Source organism: Homo sapiens, chromosome 3, assembly GCF_000001405.40.
Source record: "Homo sapiens chromosome 3, GRCh38.p14 Primary Assembly".
Taxonomy (NCBI): Eukaryota; Metazoa; Chordata; class Mammalia; order Primates; family Hominidae; genus Homo; species Homo sapiens.
This window is the reverse complement of record NC_000003.12, coordinates 71,220,248-71,236,403: the sequence shown is the minus strand read 5'-3', so window position 1 is coordinate 71,236,403 and position 16,156 is coordinate 71,220,248. Positions and strand designations below refer to the sequence as shown.

Here is a 16,156-nt window from a genome sequence, read left to right as displayed (position 1 = left end):
TCAATCGAGAACTGCAATGAAAGCATGTTACAGAGAACTTGGCCCATAGCAGAGGCTCAGGAAATACTTGGGGATGAAGCCACACACAGCAAATATTTCTACATGGGAAACACTAAAGAGGTAATCCCTTCCATTGTTTCAACATCCTGCCCTTCCTAATCAAATTGAGAATATAGCACCTACCCCACTATTTTAGAGAACTTGGATTTGCAAAATGTTTCTATTCTATACCCAGCTTGTGACCTGGATGCCAGTAAATATTGGCTCATCTGCTATGATGATTCCATGAGCATAGGTCAGCAGAGAGGAGAGAATGGGATTCCTTGAATGTTCCTAGGTGATTCTCTTATCCTGGGCTTTGATTATTTGCAAGAATTGTTACATGCGGTCCTGGAGCCACAGGCTCTTACTGGGGCATTTGTCTTAGGTAAATAGATGCATTTGTCTCCTTGATACTCTCCTAATATATGTTCTTTACCTAGTACAGAATTTACCTTACAGTATTGTGTAAGTATAGTTTCTTAAAGAGAGAAATATTAGCCGGGTGCGGTGGCCCACACCTGTAATCCCAGCACTTTGGGAGACCGAGGCGGGTGGATCATGAGGTCAGGAGATAGAGACCATCCTGGCTAACACGGTGAAACCCCATCTCTACTAAAAATGCAAAAAATTAGCCGGGCATGGTGGCACGCACCTTTAGTCCCAACTACTTAGGAGGCTGAGGTAGGAGAATCGCTTGAACCTGGGAGGCGGAGGTTGCAGTGAGCTGAGATTGCACCACTGCACTCCAGCCTGGGCAACAGAGTGAGACTCCATTTCAAGAGAAAAAAAAAAGAGAAACATTCTATGAATGTACATCACTTAACAAATACTGATTTTATCCCTGCCTTATTAGGCGTGGTGGGCTCCCTGACTTCAGGAAGCTTGTTGACTACATAAAGGCAGGTAAGAAATGTCATAGCTTCAACCGAAGATGTCAAGATTCAATGGTTGCCAAATCAAAGCAATGTTGTTTGGCTTATAAAAAGAGTCTTTAATTTTTTTCTAGAGGTTTCGTAATCGGTGTTCATTAAAGATCCACATCTTTCCTACATTCTATTTATTATATAGATGATCTAGGGAAAGCATAATTTTAATTGTAAATTTTCAGTAACCCCAACCCCTACAGAAAAGTGAGTTATACACCAAAAAGTTTTTCCCTAAACATCCATGCCAGTCCTTAAAATCCAAGGGGACTTAGATCTACAGTCGCTTTGCTAAGATTTTTTTTTTCCCCATCAGAATAAATGGAAGCCTTCACTGGAATGAGCACATGGAAATTATAGCTGTCACATTGTCCATTAAAAGCAGACATTCAAGTGGGATATTATCTCACTTTACTTTTTGGTCCTTCAGAAGTCAAGGGACAGGGTATTAGATGTGAGATGACCATAGGAAGACTGGGTCCTGGCAAAGATCAGTACCCAGCATGAAATGCGCCCACTTACTTGTTAAGTGCTTAAAATTTTCACCCCTCCTCCTGCCCTGTTCTGCCCTGAAGCTGCAGATTCATTAGTATCAATTGGTTTTCAGGGTGTTTCTATCTCTGGGCCACTGGCTCCTGGATATGATTACTGCCTGATATTTTCCATACAGTGCTTCCATTTTCAATCATCTTATCCACAGTTGGCCTAATGTCACTCTTTGAACATTCACAGAGGAATAATGTAAATGTTAGCTTTTGTCCTGTGCATAACTGGAGAGGAAAATGCCTTAGACTCATCTGCACTAAACATTTCTTTGCAGACACCTCAGAGAGGACAGCCTCCATCTCTGCCCACAGCACACCCATTTTCTGAACAAAATCAAAGAGTTGTTCTTGGGGATGTCCTTGGGGTGACGAAACTTTCTGTAGGCGGTGCAACTTGTGCCTCCAAGGATTTGAAGAGCATCCTCGCCTCCCCCCACTCACCCATATTTTATTGTCAGTTCTTTTGCAAGGGTGAAGGCAGAGGACATGTTTTGGAAGGACAGTCTTTGGTACTCTTGGCTTGTCCATTTTGTCGGATGATCTCCAGTGGTGGAGGATGAGTGTGCTGATTGGATTAATTCCGAGTTGGAATATAATGAATGGTTAGTGTCCTTTTACTCCGTTGTGTTTTGAGGTGTTTGTCCCTGACAGCCATTTGGCAAATAATCTGGTTATCCAAAAAGATTTTTGGTTTTTTGATTTAATGCTTTAAACTTTTCTTATTTTTTTTTTTTACTTATAATATTAAACATGTAAAAGCGATTTTAATGACTTTTCATTGAAGATATACCCTTCTGCCTCCATCTCCCCAAATGGGCATGCGAGAAACATCACTACTGAACAGTCTGGAAGTAAGTTTGCACCACCAAAGGTCAGTGTGGGTTGTATAAAAACCAGGACTGGAAGCAGCCCTCCCACCCCAGATAATAACGGCAATTCCAGAGAACATTGAGAACACAAACCCTCGAAGAAAGAGCAAAATTTCTCTGTCATGTAATGATGTTTGATTTGGGCTAAAAGGAATGTCCATTTTACCAAGGTCTTAAGTTCTCTTTTTGATTCCACTTTTATGCATTTTAAAAAGTTTTCTTAGCTGCCTTCCTTGTTTTCCAAAAATATACAAGTCCTGATCCTCTTTTGTCCTTCTTGGGGTCCCCAGGAATCAGAGAATACAATGTATAAAACTATAGCACCAGCTGGGGGGGTGCGAGGCCGAGGCAGGCAGATCATCTGAGGTCAGCCTGGCCAATATGGTGAAACCCTGTCTCTACTAAAAATACCAAAAAAAAAAAAAAAAAAAAGAGTCAAACATGGTCGTGGGCATTTGTAATCCCAGCTACTCAGGAGGCTGAGGTGAGAGAATCTCTTGAACCCCGGAGGCAGCGGTTGCAGTGAGCTGAGATCGCGCCATTGCACTCTAGCCTGGGTGACAAGAGTGAAACTCCATCTCAAAAAAACAAAAACAAAAACAAAAAAAAACTATAGCAGCTGCTTTAACCTTCCTTTCAATCATGGTAAGCTGTGGATTTACAGAAGCTCAGCTCCTGCTCCCTCAGTTTTTTATGAGTTGGACCATAGACCTTTCTTGATACAAAGTGGAAACCATTTCCCTTCCCTCCCCTCCTCTCTCCTCCCCTTCCCTCCTCTCCCCTTCCCTCCCCTCCCATGCCTTCCCTCCCCTTCTCTCCCTTTCTTACCTTTCTATTTCTTTCGCTTTCTCTCTTTCCCTCTTTTCTTTTCTTTCTTGGGGAGATAGGGTCTCACTCTGTTGCCTAGGCTGGAGTGCAGTTGTGCAATCATAGCTCACTGCAGCCCCAACCTCCTGGGTTCAAACGATCCTCCTGCCTCAGCCTCCAGAGTAGCTGGGACTAGAGGCACATCACACCTAGCTTATGTTTTTATTATTATTAGTAGTAGTAGTAGTAGTAGTCGTGGTGGTGGTGGTGGTGGTAGTAGTATTGTAGAGAACCACTGCACCTGGTCCCCATTTTTCTTGCTTTTTTTTTTTTTTTTTTTGAGACAGAGTTTTGCTCTGTGGCACGATCTCAGCTCGTTATAACTTCCATTGCCAGGGCTCAAGAGATCTTCCCTCTTCATCCCAAGTAGCTGGGACTACAAGTGTGCATCACTGCAATTGGCTAAATTTTTTGTATTTTTGGTAGACACAGGGTTTTACCGTGTTGCCCAGACTGGTCTCGAACTCCTGAACTCAAGGGATCCTCCCACCTCCACCTCCCAAAGTGTTGGGATTACAGGCATGAGCCACCACACCCAGCCCTGACCCTATCTTCTTTTTGTTTTTTTTGTCGGAGTTTCTATTCTCTGTTTCATTTTTTGAGATCTATGGATGTGAATAAGCTTCCTGCCGTAAAGAAGACATCATTATTTATTTCTGTAGCTTTTGTGTACTACCATGGAGATGACATGGAGCATCAGTTGAGGGGTCCTGTAGAGTGACAGCTAGCAGATGGGTAGAATAACTATTATTAGTGCTGCTTCTCCTCTCTGTCAGTTCTCATAGCAGACATTGCTAATTGATCACAGTACTTTTTCTCAGCAAGCCTGACTGTGGCCTATGAATCTTCCTCTCAAGGAGTGCCAGCCACTGATAATCGATAGCACTTGACTGAAATGTATTTCCCCTCCCTTCTCTAATTGTTGTGATTTACTACATGTGAAATTGGCTGATGAGATATTATTAATAAATAGTGGCACATCTTTTATTTTGATACTATCAGATTCTTTTTATATTATCTCAGTTTGCTAAGCCACCTAGCCCCTTCCAAATGAGCTTTTTAAACACATGCTCTTTCTTCAGATGTGACCTGACAAGAGAGACAGACAACCCCCAGAAATCCCTTTCAGGTGACGATGCTGAAATAGGCCAAGTACCAGTTCTTCTTTGAGCTGTATAACTCTTTCTTAGGTACATAATTCTTTGCACATGCAATTGAAGGATCACCCAGGAAATGGATGTGGCCTTCCTACAGGAGATAACGTTGAAGTATGAACTCTTTGCCCTTTGGCAAATTGCCTGTTCCCCTCGTTCTAAATTTCTAGGAATCTAGGTCCTGACACCCTACATTCTTTGATATCTCCATAGACCATAATCTAGTTGAATCTACCAGAATTATTTATGCACCATAATGAAAAAGAAAAATAGGGAGGCTTTTTCTATTCACTCATCTTTCATCGTTATTTTAACTTATATTTCCCTGGAATTTTTCTGTCTTAACTTTATAGTTTAAAAATGTTGCCTGATAAACAGTGCTTGTAGTCCATTTATGTTTTTTGCCTAATGCATGGAAATTTGAAGTGTCCAGAATTCATAGTTTCTCCAAAATAACCACTGAGTCAACAAGTTGGTGTTGTGTATTTTTCCCCTCTTTGGACATTTATAATAAATTATAGTAATTCTCTCTTGAAAGATTAGAAAATCTCTCCTATTTTTTTTTCCTATAAGGTAGCTATAGGTGGATTGGTTCTGTCTTATTTGTAGCATCAGAATTCATGTTTTTTGATTCATTGTATTTATAAGGTAAAAAGGAGAATCAGTTCACTTTGTTTCTCTTGAATGCAAAACAAGAAGGAAGCATGTTTGCAGGTGCTATCATGTCTCAACATCACTGTGCTTATGTTTAGTTATTTTTTGAGTTTTAAAGCCTACATCTTCATCTTTCCTTGTCAGGATGTATAAAATTGATTCATGGTTCATTTAAGTAAAGAAGCTATTTTAAACCAAATTGTCCTCATTGAAAGAAAAGGGGACTTTTGCTGTCAGCTGCAGAAACATGATTTTTCACCAAAATGATCTGTTACTTAACAAAAAAAGTAGATTTGCAAACTTGCTTTTTTCCCCTTCTTATGATTAAAGAGCGGAGGGAAAAACAAGTATCTGGATAGTCAGACTCTACTGGAATTTTTTCCCGTTCTCTGGCAAGCCTGTCTTACTTGTAGGTGTATCTCAAATGGAACAGAATGTGTGAAAGCCATTTAAATGATTATTTGATAACTTAATAAAGGAAAATGCTTCAAGCCACCACCCCCCTCCTACAGTTGATAAGTGATGCCACCTACTGTGAAAATATTTTACAAAACACTTTCGTTTTGGAATCAGTATCAAATAGTAATTTTAAAATAAAACATGTGTAGAGTTTTCTCTTGGCTCTTCCCAGTTTTGAGAATTCACAGTGAGCCCTGTACTCTTGAGTTTATGCACCAATCTTTCTTTCTTCCCCGAGTATTACTTTACTCACAGGTTTGGCTTAGCAGACTTTAGATGTTGGTTTTTAGCTACGGATTAACTACTAATATATTTGTGCTTAATTATTCTTTTTTGGATGGTAGTTGCACTTTGCACTTTAAAATACTATCTGTTTACTGTCATAGGTAAAGGAGATGCATTTAACCCCCTCCTGTTCCTTTGTTTCCAGGTAGAGGAGGGTTTTAAAGACTTTAATCATTCATGGGCATTGAACACACAGTACTACCTCTGAGGGCAGTTTTGTCTGCCCAAGGCATTCTGCTATGTAAGTAGAGGCTTCTTGGCACCAGAAGTCAGGAGCACCACATGCCCTTAGAATTTCACTGCATTTGTTCTATGAGAAATTGGTTCAAAGAACAGCAGTTTTTAAAGAAAGCGATCCATTTGAAAAGCTACACAGTTTGCTTGGCATCTCTGAACACTTCACAGCCGCACAGTGACGCTCTTGTAAGCCTGCGGCCTTTGCAAGGTTTTGTTTTGTCTTTTTCTCCTTTATCCCCCACCCACCCCTCCCCAGTGGTGTCTGCTTTGGCTGCTGGTATCTTTTCCTGCAGCCCTGCTGTTTGGCACACCTTGTAGAACTTGAGGCTGCCTTAGGAGCTCTAATTGTGAGTAGCAAGTTTCCAGGGAGTCCTGGAGGTTGCAGCGCCACTGAGATAATCTGAGCTTGACAGAAGTGGCACAATTATCCCTAAGTCCTAGATGAAGCAGTAACCCTCAAGGAGGATACTCGAGTGGCCGTGGAGCTTTCCAGAACTGAACAGAATGGGCTCCTCTGTCAGTGCAGATTAGCTCTTGTTGTTGTTGTTGTTTACTAGACAGTGGGTACCTTAAGGAGATGGTACGGAGAACCCATTGTAGCTGATCCAACTTCCGGCGTTTATTTTATTTTTTTTTAAATTTCAAAGCTCCATTCTTGACATTGACTAGAAAACAGCTGAAAGAAAGAGACACGGCCCATTTGCATATTCTACAAGGATAGTGTGGAGCCTGTATGATGAAATCTGAATAAATACGTGGATTTTGAGAACCCTTTTTTTCCCTGACAGTATTCAACATTAAGTATATACTTAAGCAGTAATGACTCTGAAGCTATGCTTTGCATTCATGAACACACTCCATAGGGTTACGCTTCAAGCACTAGGTGAAGCCAAGATTTTCTGAATTATGTTTCATTGGGGAATTTTTACCTTTTTTTCCTGTTTATGACAGTCATTTCATCTGGTTTTATAATGAGGTCAGGAACAGGTGAATGTAAAATAATACTAGTAAGCTGAGTGATTTCTGTGTTAATGATTAGGCTATTTTTTAAATTAAAAAGTTCTGGTATTTGAAACATGCTCAGTACTTTAAGTACACTTACTAGTAATTAATCAGAATGAAAGATTTTAATGTTCTCTGATTATGTACAAATCATTATGGCTACCTGTCTGCAAGAAGTCAGGAGAAACTGGTATCTCGGCTAAAACTGGGGGAAAAACTGGTGTCGTCTTTGCTTATTTTTCCCATTCTCCCAGTAAATACAAAGCATTAGCATTTGTATAATATAGGGGTGTACTTAACTCTTTCCCCTTAAAAGGCCAACTTTCCCCCTTTATAAAATACAGGTCTGCTCATTAAACCAATAACCTTTAAAAAATGAGACATCAAAAAAAAAAAAAACAACCAACAGTAAAAGCATTTTACTAGGAAACCCTCTTAGAGCACATTTTAAACATCTTTTGTGTTTCCACATATCAAGCTACTTTATGGACTTTTGCTGTGGCATTGCCCTTCAACGAGAAAGCTTTTTCCATTTTGTACCATAAAGAATATTATTTTTCTGCCAGCCAATTTTCTCTGTTAGTCACTAATTGGCTACATAAATCTCGGGTGTTGAGAATGAGGAATGTTTCAGTGTCATAGAGTGTAATCTTCACCCTTATTTACCAATTCATTAAGATTCATTGATGCAGGATCGGTGAGAGGAAATGACAACATAAATCAGACCTCCAACATAATGACCCTAATCAGTTGGGAATTGCTGGAAATGTCATGATGAACTATGTCCTTGTGTTAGTGCCACTGTACATTGTCATTGCGCTGCTTTATGAGTGGGACGCATCTTCCTGACACTGACTGTATTTAACGAAAAAAGAGTTGTTAAAAACCTGATTCCATTAAAGCTATGAGATCCATACAAGGTCCTGTGGTGTTTAGCCTTGTGCCCTTTACCTTCATTGTAACTGCTTAATGGAGCTGCAGTTTAATGCACATTTAGAGTACACCTGAGTAAAAACTCCACAGGAAAAAAAAAAAAGCAGGTTGATTTATGGCTTGTCATGTCTTTATTTAACCCAATAATTTCGGTGCGTATAGAGAATTGAAAACAGTAAGTTCTCCACTTAGGTACCAAATCTCTTGTCACTAAACTGAGGAAGCATCCCAGTGACCTAGAACTCCCTAAATATCCTCTCTTTCCGTGATGTGTTGGATTCAAACCTCAGTCTCCACAGGTTTGCTGATGGTAACTGCTGGTCATTCCTAGAATAATGTGTCAATTCAAAATTAGCAATATAATTTGACAGGGGCTTCTGCAAAGAGGTTTCTGGACACCTCCCCCGCCCCCCACCCGCCCCACCATGATATTGATTTGATTCCACCACATTCTTGGAATTGGTTACTGGAAGATCGGGAGCTGCATAGTCATACACATTCTTCGATTTAATATAGTTATTCATTTTAGCTGTAATGAATTAATCTGGCAACAGTTTTGGACTAGCCCAGAAGGCACTCCTCCTTCCTCTTTACTTACTGCTTATTAAAATCTTGCCGATGAATAGCAGGTAAATACGTTTCAGGATGTGAAGATTGAAAATTGTCACTTTATACTCCTTTGACTGTTTTTTTTTTTTTTTAAAAACATTGAGCATGATGGTAACCATTTTTTAATCTCAAAACAAATCTTTAATCTATGGTATAAGGCTGAGAAAGACCTGTAAGAGAACAAGACAAGTTTACTTAATCTTGACAGCCCTGGGTGTAATCTCACTCTGCTTGTGACAAGTCAGACTGTAAGATTTATAACTCCTTAATCAAATGTCTAGAAGTCTCAGGAAATGTTATCATAGGACTTCCTTTCACATGACTTACTGAGAACTCAATAGACCGTTAGATAAGCTCTAGACTAAGCTGGACCTTAGAATAATTTCAAATTGACTAATAGTTTTCTGGGGGGTTTCTTTGGCGGGAGAGTGTTTTCAATTTGTTTTGACAAGTGTATGTTTACAGACTCATTATATCAGAGGGCTCTGTTGCTTCCAATAGGAAGACACGGTAATTTTTGATGCCCTGTGGTCGTGGTCTTCACGTAAACGCTATTTGTGTTCCGAATCTTAGAGTTGTGTGGGAAGGGGATCCGAGGAGACATGAGGATCATAAAAGCTGCCCGATGTCACCATGGTCGCGTGCCTGTGGGGCTGTAAAGGCAGACTTAGACAAGAGCAGGGGACTGCAGTGGGCTCTGAGCCACTGTGTGTCAGTGGAAGGATGACTAAGAGTGTGAGAACCACTGCATCGCTAGAACCGCACCAGCCTTCTCATGTGGTCCAGGAGGCCCGGCACCGCCATTACCACGAAGACCAAAATGACTCTCCCCACCCACAGCCAAACCAGAGTCGTCCTGTGCGCTCTGCCCTGTCATCAGAGGGGACTGTCAGCTGCCGTCTGACATCCTGCGTGCTTTGGCTCTTACCCCAGTCTGACCAGTGTGACTGTACAGGATCCCTCTTCTTGGCCGGTGAACAGCGCACTTAGTGCCCTTGCAGGGAGCCTGAGAACGAGCAAGGTAGTGCGTGCGGGGAGTGAGCAAAAGAGAGACTCAGCGAGACAGGATGTGAGATGGAGGTGGAGAGCAAGACTGCGAGAGGAAAATGACAAGCAGAGAGAAAGGGATACTAAGAGGAAGATGGCAAACTGAAAGGGAAAGAGACTGTGTGACAGGGTGAGACAGAGTGAAAGAGATTGAGCCAGAATGAGATGCAGAAGGGGGTAGGGAGGGAGTGAGAGGGAGAGAGACAGGAGAGAGAGAGAGAGAGAGAGAACCCCGGGAAGCAATAGGGACCCCCAGAGTAGACCCTGCCATCACTTGTGCCTGGAAGAGGCTCTTGCATAGGTGACGGGCATTTTCAGGATGGCTGCCGGGTGGAGTTGAGCAGTGAGGCTGGCAGGAGTCACATCTGGGCCTGAGGCAAGTAGCCCAAACTGAAAAGGCAATGCTCTGATGTCAGCCTCATCCATCTAGGCTTAGAACAAGGATCTGTACTTTGAAGAATCCCAGCCTCCCCTGCAAGAAAGAGCCCAAGATTGTTACCATTTCAGACCTCAAGAGCCAAAGCAAGACACACCAGTTCCTAACCAGAGGGACTTGAGTTAGCTCTAGGAAATGGGAAGATTCAATTGATGTAATTTCAACTTCTTTTCCTCAGAGGCGTCCAGCAGCACAGGCTGCCAAAAAAGTGCCCATGCCCTTGATGTCTAAGCAAAGTGACTGTAAAAATAGAAGTAGTGTCTCAGAAGTTTTTTCTCTGCCCCTGTCTCTCCTGAATCTGAACCAGGCTGTTTAAAACTTGGCATCACTCAGCTTGCAAAGCTACCATTTGTTTCTAGAAAGTGAAAGTTTTTTTTGGTAAGCCCTCTGAAACTCAGTGTTGCCTAAATATCTGAAGACATGATTTTTCTCAGTCCGTCTTGGGCCCCCGTGCCCAGTCTCTCTTTGCTGCACCCGTTCTTCCTCTGCACTAATATGTCCTCATATCCAGCTCCTTTCCATAGATGTGATTGGGTTTCTGTTCATGTCTCCACTGTTCAAAAGATTTGTTTCCTCCACCATTAGTATTTGAGGGAGAACTCCCAAAACCTAGGGAGGGGAAAGCAAGTGGGCAGAGAACTAGAAATGAGATGAGAAAAATCGCTAGCTATTTCTGGCAAGGAAAAACATCTTTACAGTAACAGGAGTGTTTAACAGACAGACAAAATACCTTCAAAATATGCAAATCTCTGTTTATCTTACAGAATTCTACAGGGAACAAATCCGTAGCATTAGCAATTATGACAGCTCAGAAATTTTTTTCCTTCCTCGTCATAATTATAAACATCAGTATCGCTTAGAGCTTCACGTTAAAATGTTTTTCTCCTACTTCTTTTAAGAGTTATTTGTTTAACATGCTTTTATTATCCTAGATGATGTGATTTGGGAAGAAAGTATTAATTCTCTTATCAGCTCTGTTTCCTTTCCAGTTGTTCAGAGAATTGAGCTACACTAGTAGTTTATGAAGTAAGAGGTATTAAATAGAGAGCTCACTGCTGATCAGATTGAGCCACTTCTGAACTGTGGCTATCCAGGCAAAGGGGATTGACAGCTTAGCATTTATGCCGCAAATGTGTTGGAATAACATGGCAACAGAATCACAGGCATCTTTACTTCTCTCACACTGCCGCCTCCCAGCTAGTGCCTTTGTATCATTGAAATTTTTGAGAAACAAGATGCCTTAACTCCTTATCCAATGTTGCTTGTTCAGTCTGGCTTTGTGAATATTGTTCCTTGAGTGTGGTTTTGAAGGTGGCTGTGTTTTATTGCAGGTATTGTATAGGTCATGTATATTCTATCATTCATTCATCCACTTAGGCACTCATTCACTCATTCAAAATATTGACTGTGATGTGCCAAGTCCTGGCAGATTTGGGTACCGTTGTAGCTGAGTATTTCTAATTCTCTTAAACACATTGCCTACATTATCATGTTAGAATAATGTCAAATATAACCTTGTCACAACAACCAGTCTGTCGGGTGTCCTTGGCCTACAGTGCTAATCTGTGATTATTTTCTAATTTGATGCTGGCAACTCACATAGAACCACTGGGTGAGGGGATGGTTCTGTCCCATCTGGTCATTGATTTGTTTATTCAACAAATGTCCACCTACTATGTGTCACTGTGCTGGGTGCTGGGCCCTCTCCCTTTGACTTGCTGGATAATTTTAGAAGCTTGTCCAGTCTCACTGGTTTTTTGCTGTGTATGTTTTCTGAGACACTTCCAGTCCTCCGTTTGATCACAGCTTCCCATCTCTGCCTCTTGCCCATCACTTGTGCGGATTGTACTTAATCACTGTCCTGTATCCACATCCCTCCACACCCAGCAGAGAGTCCATAAGTAGCCATTTCAGTAGTACCCTCTATACCATCTCTCCCTCCCTTATCCCTTCTTCTGCCACTGCAGTGGCTCTCGCAACCCCCAACTCCATCTACGATCACATCTACTCTTCTTCCTAAGGGAATGAGTATGGCTGGTAGCTCTCCCAAAACCATGCTGAGTCCCTGTATGCAGTTCTGCATCCTAGACGTAACTGAGCAATCCCTCATGGGCTCATCAATCCCAGTGTTTATGGTTTTAGAGTCCTCTCATTCACTACAGTGATGATCCTAGAACTTGACCACCACCCTTGAGCCTCTGCTATATCCTCACCAGATTTCAGCAGATGATTTGATTCTTCTTTTACTATACAGATGGTACAACTCGTTAATCTTAATTCCTCTAAATTCAGAATCTCCAACTTCTTCTTCTTTGATCACCTCCTTAGTCTATGAGGAGGAAGAAATTAGCAACTCACTGACCAGCTGCCATACTAGGGAGCGTGATTATCCAAGCCTAGACTCTCCATCCTTCCATTGCCCATGAGCTATCCACCTATCCATCCATCCAGCAAACTTCTGCTGAGTGACTCCTAAGTATCCAGTACTATTAGGCTTTACTGAAGCAGTAATGGGGTACTCCTGGCCTGAGCGGAGAGCCATCTGGTCACTATCATATTGCAATGAACCTGACCTTTGGTCAGCATAAAAATAAAATGCATCTCGAGTACTTTAGAATGAAATATTTTCTTTTTTTTTTTTTTTTTTTGAGACGTAGTCTCGCTCTGTCACCAGGCCGGAGTGCGGTGGTGCAATCTCTACTCACTGCAAGCTCCGTCTCCTGGGTTCAGGCCATTCTCCTGCCTCAGTCTCCCGAGTAGCTGGGACTACAGGCGTCTGCCATTACACTCGGCTAATTTTTTGTATTTTTAGTAGAGACTGGGTTTCATCATATTAGCCAGGATGGTCTCGATCTCCTGACCTTGTGATCCACCCACCTTAGCCTCCCAAAGTGCTGGGATTACAGGCATGAGCCACCGCACCCGGCTAGAATGAAATATTTTCTTTTTAAAGGTAATATTTGAACTGGGTTTGAAAGCATTCATAGGAATTCAGGTCAATGTAGGAAAAAAGTGCCTCCAAGAGGAGGAGAATAGCATAATGTAGGTATGAAAGAGTAAGGTATGTTTGGAAAACAGCAACTAACTAGGAAAAGTGCTGGGTTCGTGGAGGAGGAAGCAGGAAAGAAGTCTGGGAAATTATACAGGAGACCTGTTATTCCATTCAAAGGAGTTGAGACTCTTTTTAGAATGGGGGAGCTTGGGGAGCTTTCCTGGCAAGGGAGTGACTTGATCAGAATGGTTTTTGTTTTTAATGGTGTTTGTGGTTCAGCTGAAGGTTCTTTGAGGATTTCAGGAGAAAGATGATGACAGCTGGATGATCGTAGTGGTGATGAAAAGAAAGGGGAAAAATTTATTCAATATATAAGATTAAGAATTGCCAGGTCCTGATGAAAGACTGAACATCAAAGGAGTTGACAGTGACCTTTCCCTGATCAGGCAAAGTAGCAGGTTGGAGGAAAGAATGTTGAGTTTGGGAGCCTGATGAACTTAAGTGGTAGAAATAATCGGTAAAGGAGAGAAGGGCTTGTTGGGGATCCAATCTGTGATCATCAATGAGTAGGCAAAGGTGAAGTATATGTGGAGGGCAAGGGGACCTTGAGGAACACCAACAGCGAATGGGTTGGGGAAGACAGTGAAGTATTTGAAAAAGACCAAGGCTTTGGGAGGCCAAGGCAGGCAGATAACCTGAGGTCAGGAGTTCGAGACTAGCCTGGCCAACATGGTGAAACCCCATCTCTACGAAACATACAAAAGGTAGCCAGGCGTGGTGGCGGGCACCTGTAATCCCAGCTACTCTGGAGGCTAAGGCATGAGAATTGCTTGAACCTGAGAGGCAGAGGTTGCAGTGAGCTGAGATCGCGCCACTGCACTCCAGCCTGGGCGACAGAGCGAGACTCCATCTCAAAAAAATAAAAATAAAAATAAAAATACCAAGGGAGTGAAGGGTTTTTGAATCAGGCTGAGCACCAGAGGATGTGCTATCAGGGAAGCCATGGAAGAATTTTCAAAGTGGCCTCCATGTCAGGTGTGACAGACACCCTCTGGTCTCTTGGGCTTGGCAGTGTTACCAGGTGTGTCCAGGGACCGCCAGCGTGTTGTGAATGCTGCCTCCAGGGTTCCGCCCCAGCCCCTCTCATGGATCTGGGTGAAGGACTTGGGTTTTTGTTTGTTTGTTTGTTTGTTTTTTTGATACGGAATCTCGCTCTGGCACCAGGCTGGAGTGCAGTGTCGCAATCTCGGCTCACTGCAACCTTCACCTCCCGGGTTCAAGCGATTCTCTTGCCTCAGCCTCCTGAGTAGCTGGGACTACTGGCGCACGCCACCATGCCCAGGTAATTTTTGTATTTTTAGTAGAGACAGGGTTTTACCGTGTTGGCCAGGATGGTCTCGATCTCTTCACCTCGTGATCCGCCTGCCTCGGCCTCCCAAAGTGCTAGGATTACAGGTGTGAACCACTGCACCCGGACGAAGGACTTTGTTCTGATTGGCTTCAGAGTTGAGGAACTACTGTCCTAGCCATAAGCATTGAGTCTGCAACGCAGAGTTGTAAGTAAGAGGTAGAAACATAGAGACAGGACCCTTCCAAAAAGCTTAGCTGCATGGAGGAAAGAGGTTGCAGGATGGGAACTAGAGGGATAGAAGAGTAACCCAGAATAGTTTTGGTCTGAGTGCCTTGAGTATATTTATATATAGACTAAAATGCGGGAGGCGGTAGAGATGCGGTAGAGAGAAGGAGGTTGGTGCTGGAAGAATATAAGCCTGGAAGACACAGGTTTCAGAGTGAATGTAGAAAGTGAACAGCCTCTTATTTTCAGAAGGAAAGAAGGGAGGGCAGAAGGATGAAGGTATTTGATGTTGGATGGGGGATCTCCCTTTTGCTTCGCCATCTTCGTATCATCCTCCACTTCTCTAAGCCACTTGAAACCATTAGCCACCTCTTCCTTCTTTGAAACTCCCTTCTAAGTCTTCTGTCACTCTCCAAGACTCTACCCTGGAATGTGCCTCTAGAACAGTGGACCCCAACATTTTTGGCACCAAGGACCAGTTTCGTGGAAGACAATTTTTCTGACCAGGAGAGGGGAAGAGTTGGGGATGATTAAGGAGCAAGCAACCTAGATCCCTCTCATGCACGTTTCACAATAGGGTTCCTGCTCCTATGAGAATCTAATGCAGCTGCTGATCCAACAGGAGGCGGAGCTCAGGCGGTGATGCCCACTCACCTGCTGCTCACCTCCTGCTTTACCGACCGGTTCCTAACAGGCCCCAGACCCTTGGGGAGCTGGGGACCCCGCTCTAAAATGTAGTGGGTGGAGATTGGATGAGTTTGATGCTCATATTTTTGTCTGCTAGCTTTATATATGTGTGTCTAAGTCTAAGTATTCTTGGCCTACAGGTTTTCTTCTTTAAAAGAAAAAAAAAAGAGGATTAATATGTACCTCACAAAGTAGTTGTGAGGACCAGAACTTAGTAAATGTTATTCTTCCTGTTTCCTAAGTACAGGAATTACCTATGGTTTGTTCTGAGGACCCTTCTTTTCTCCTCATAATCTTTTATTTTATTTTATTTTATTTTATTTTATTTTATTTTGAGACAGGGTCTCACTCAGTCACCCAGGTTGGATCGCAGTGGTGCGATCTCGGCTCACTGCAACCTCCACCTCCCAGGCTCAGGTGATCCTCCCACCTCAGCCTCCCAAGTAGTTGGGACTACAGGCGTGCACTGCCACACCTGGCTAATTTTTTTTTTGTATTTTTGATAGAGACAGAGTTTTGCTATGTTGCCCAGGGTGATCTCAAACTCCTAAGCTCAGGCGATCCACCTGCTTCAGCCTCCCAAAGTGCAGAGATTACAGGCGTAAGCCAGGGTGCTGGCCCTCCCCTCACCATCTGACTCATTCCCTTTCAAGTGTCACCTCTGTGTTGATGCCTCCCTGCTAGCTTTTGTTTTCATTTCTGCTTTACTCTGAAAGTGGCCTGTTCCCTCACTTGGCCATTCTCACAAAAGCGTCACTTGGGCTGAGAAATGTCATTCATGTTGCCTCAGTTCCTATAATCAGTTACCAGGTCTTTCATTCTAGCTGTATAATATTTCA

General features: G+C 42.7%; 1 protein-coding gene across 12 annotated transcripts in view, besides 2 other annotated features; it reads left to right on the top strand.

Annotated features, from left to right (window-relative positions):
- The window catches only part of FOXP1 (forkhead box P1), a 629,271-nt gene that overhangs the window by 347,575 nt on the left and 265,540 nt on the right, over positions 1 to 16,156 (top strand). The gene's annotated exons all lie outside the window — the stretch shown is intronic.
- Positions 6,599 to 8,243: an enhancer, noted in NCBI's record as "VISTA enhancer hs630". NCBI's record gives its function as "enhancer in: neural tube[3/7]" and the evidence as "EXISTENCE:transgenic organism evidence [ECO:0001131][PMID:17130149]".
- Positions 9,437 to 9,937: an enhancer, noted in NCBI's record as "H3K4me1 hESC enhancer chr3:71275618-71276118 (GRCh37/hg19 assembly coordinates)". NCBI's record gives its function as "activates a minimal SCP1, AML or CMV promoter by ChIP-STARR-seq in naive H9 embryonic stem cells {active_cell/tissue: H9 hESC(naive)}" and the evidence as "EXISTENCE:reporter gene assay evidence [ECO:0000049][PMID:30033119]".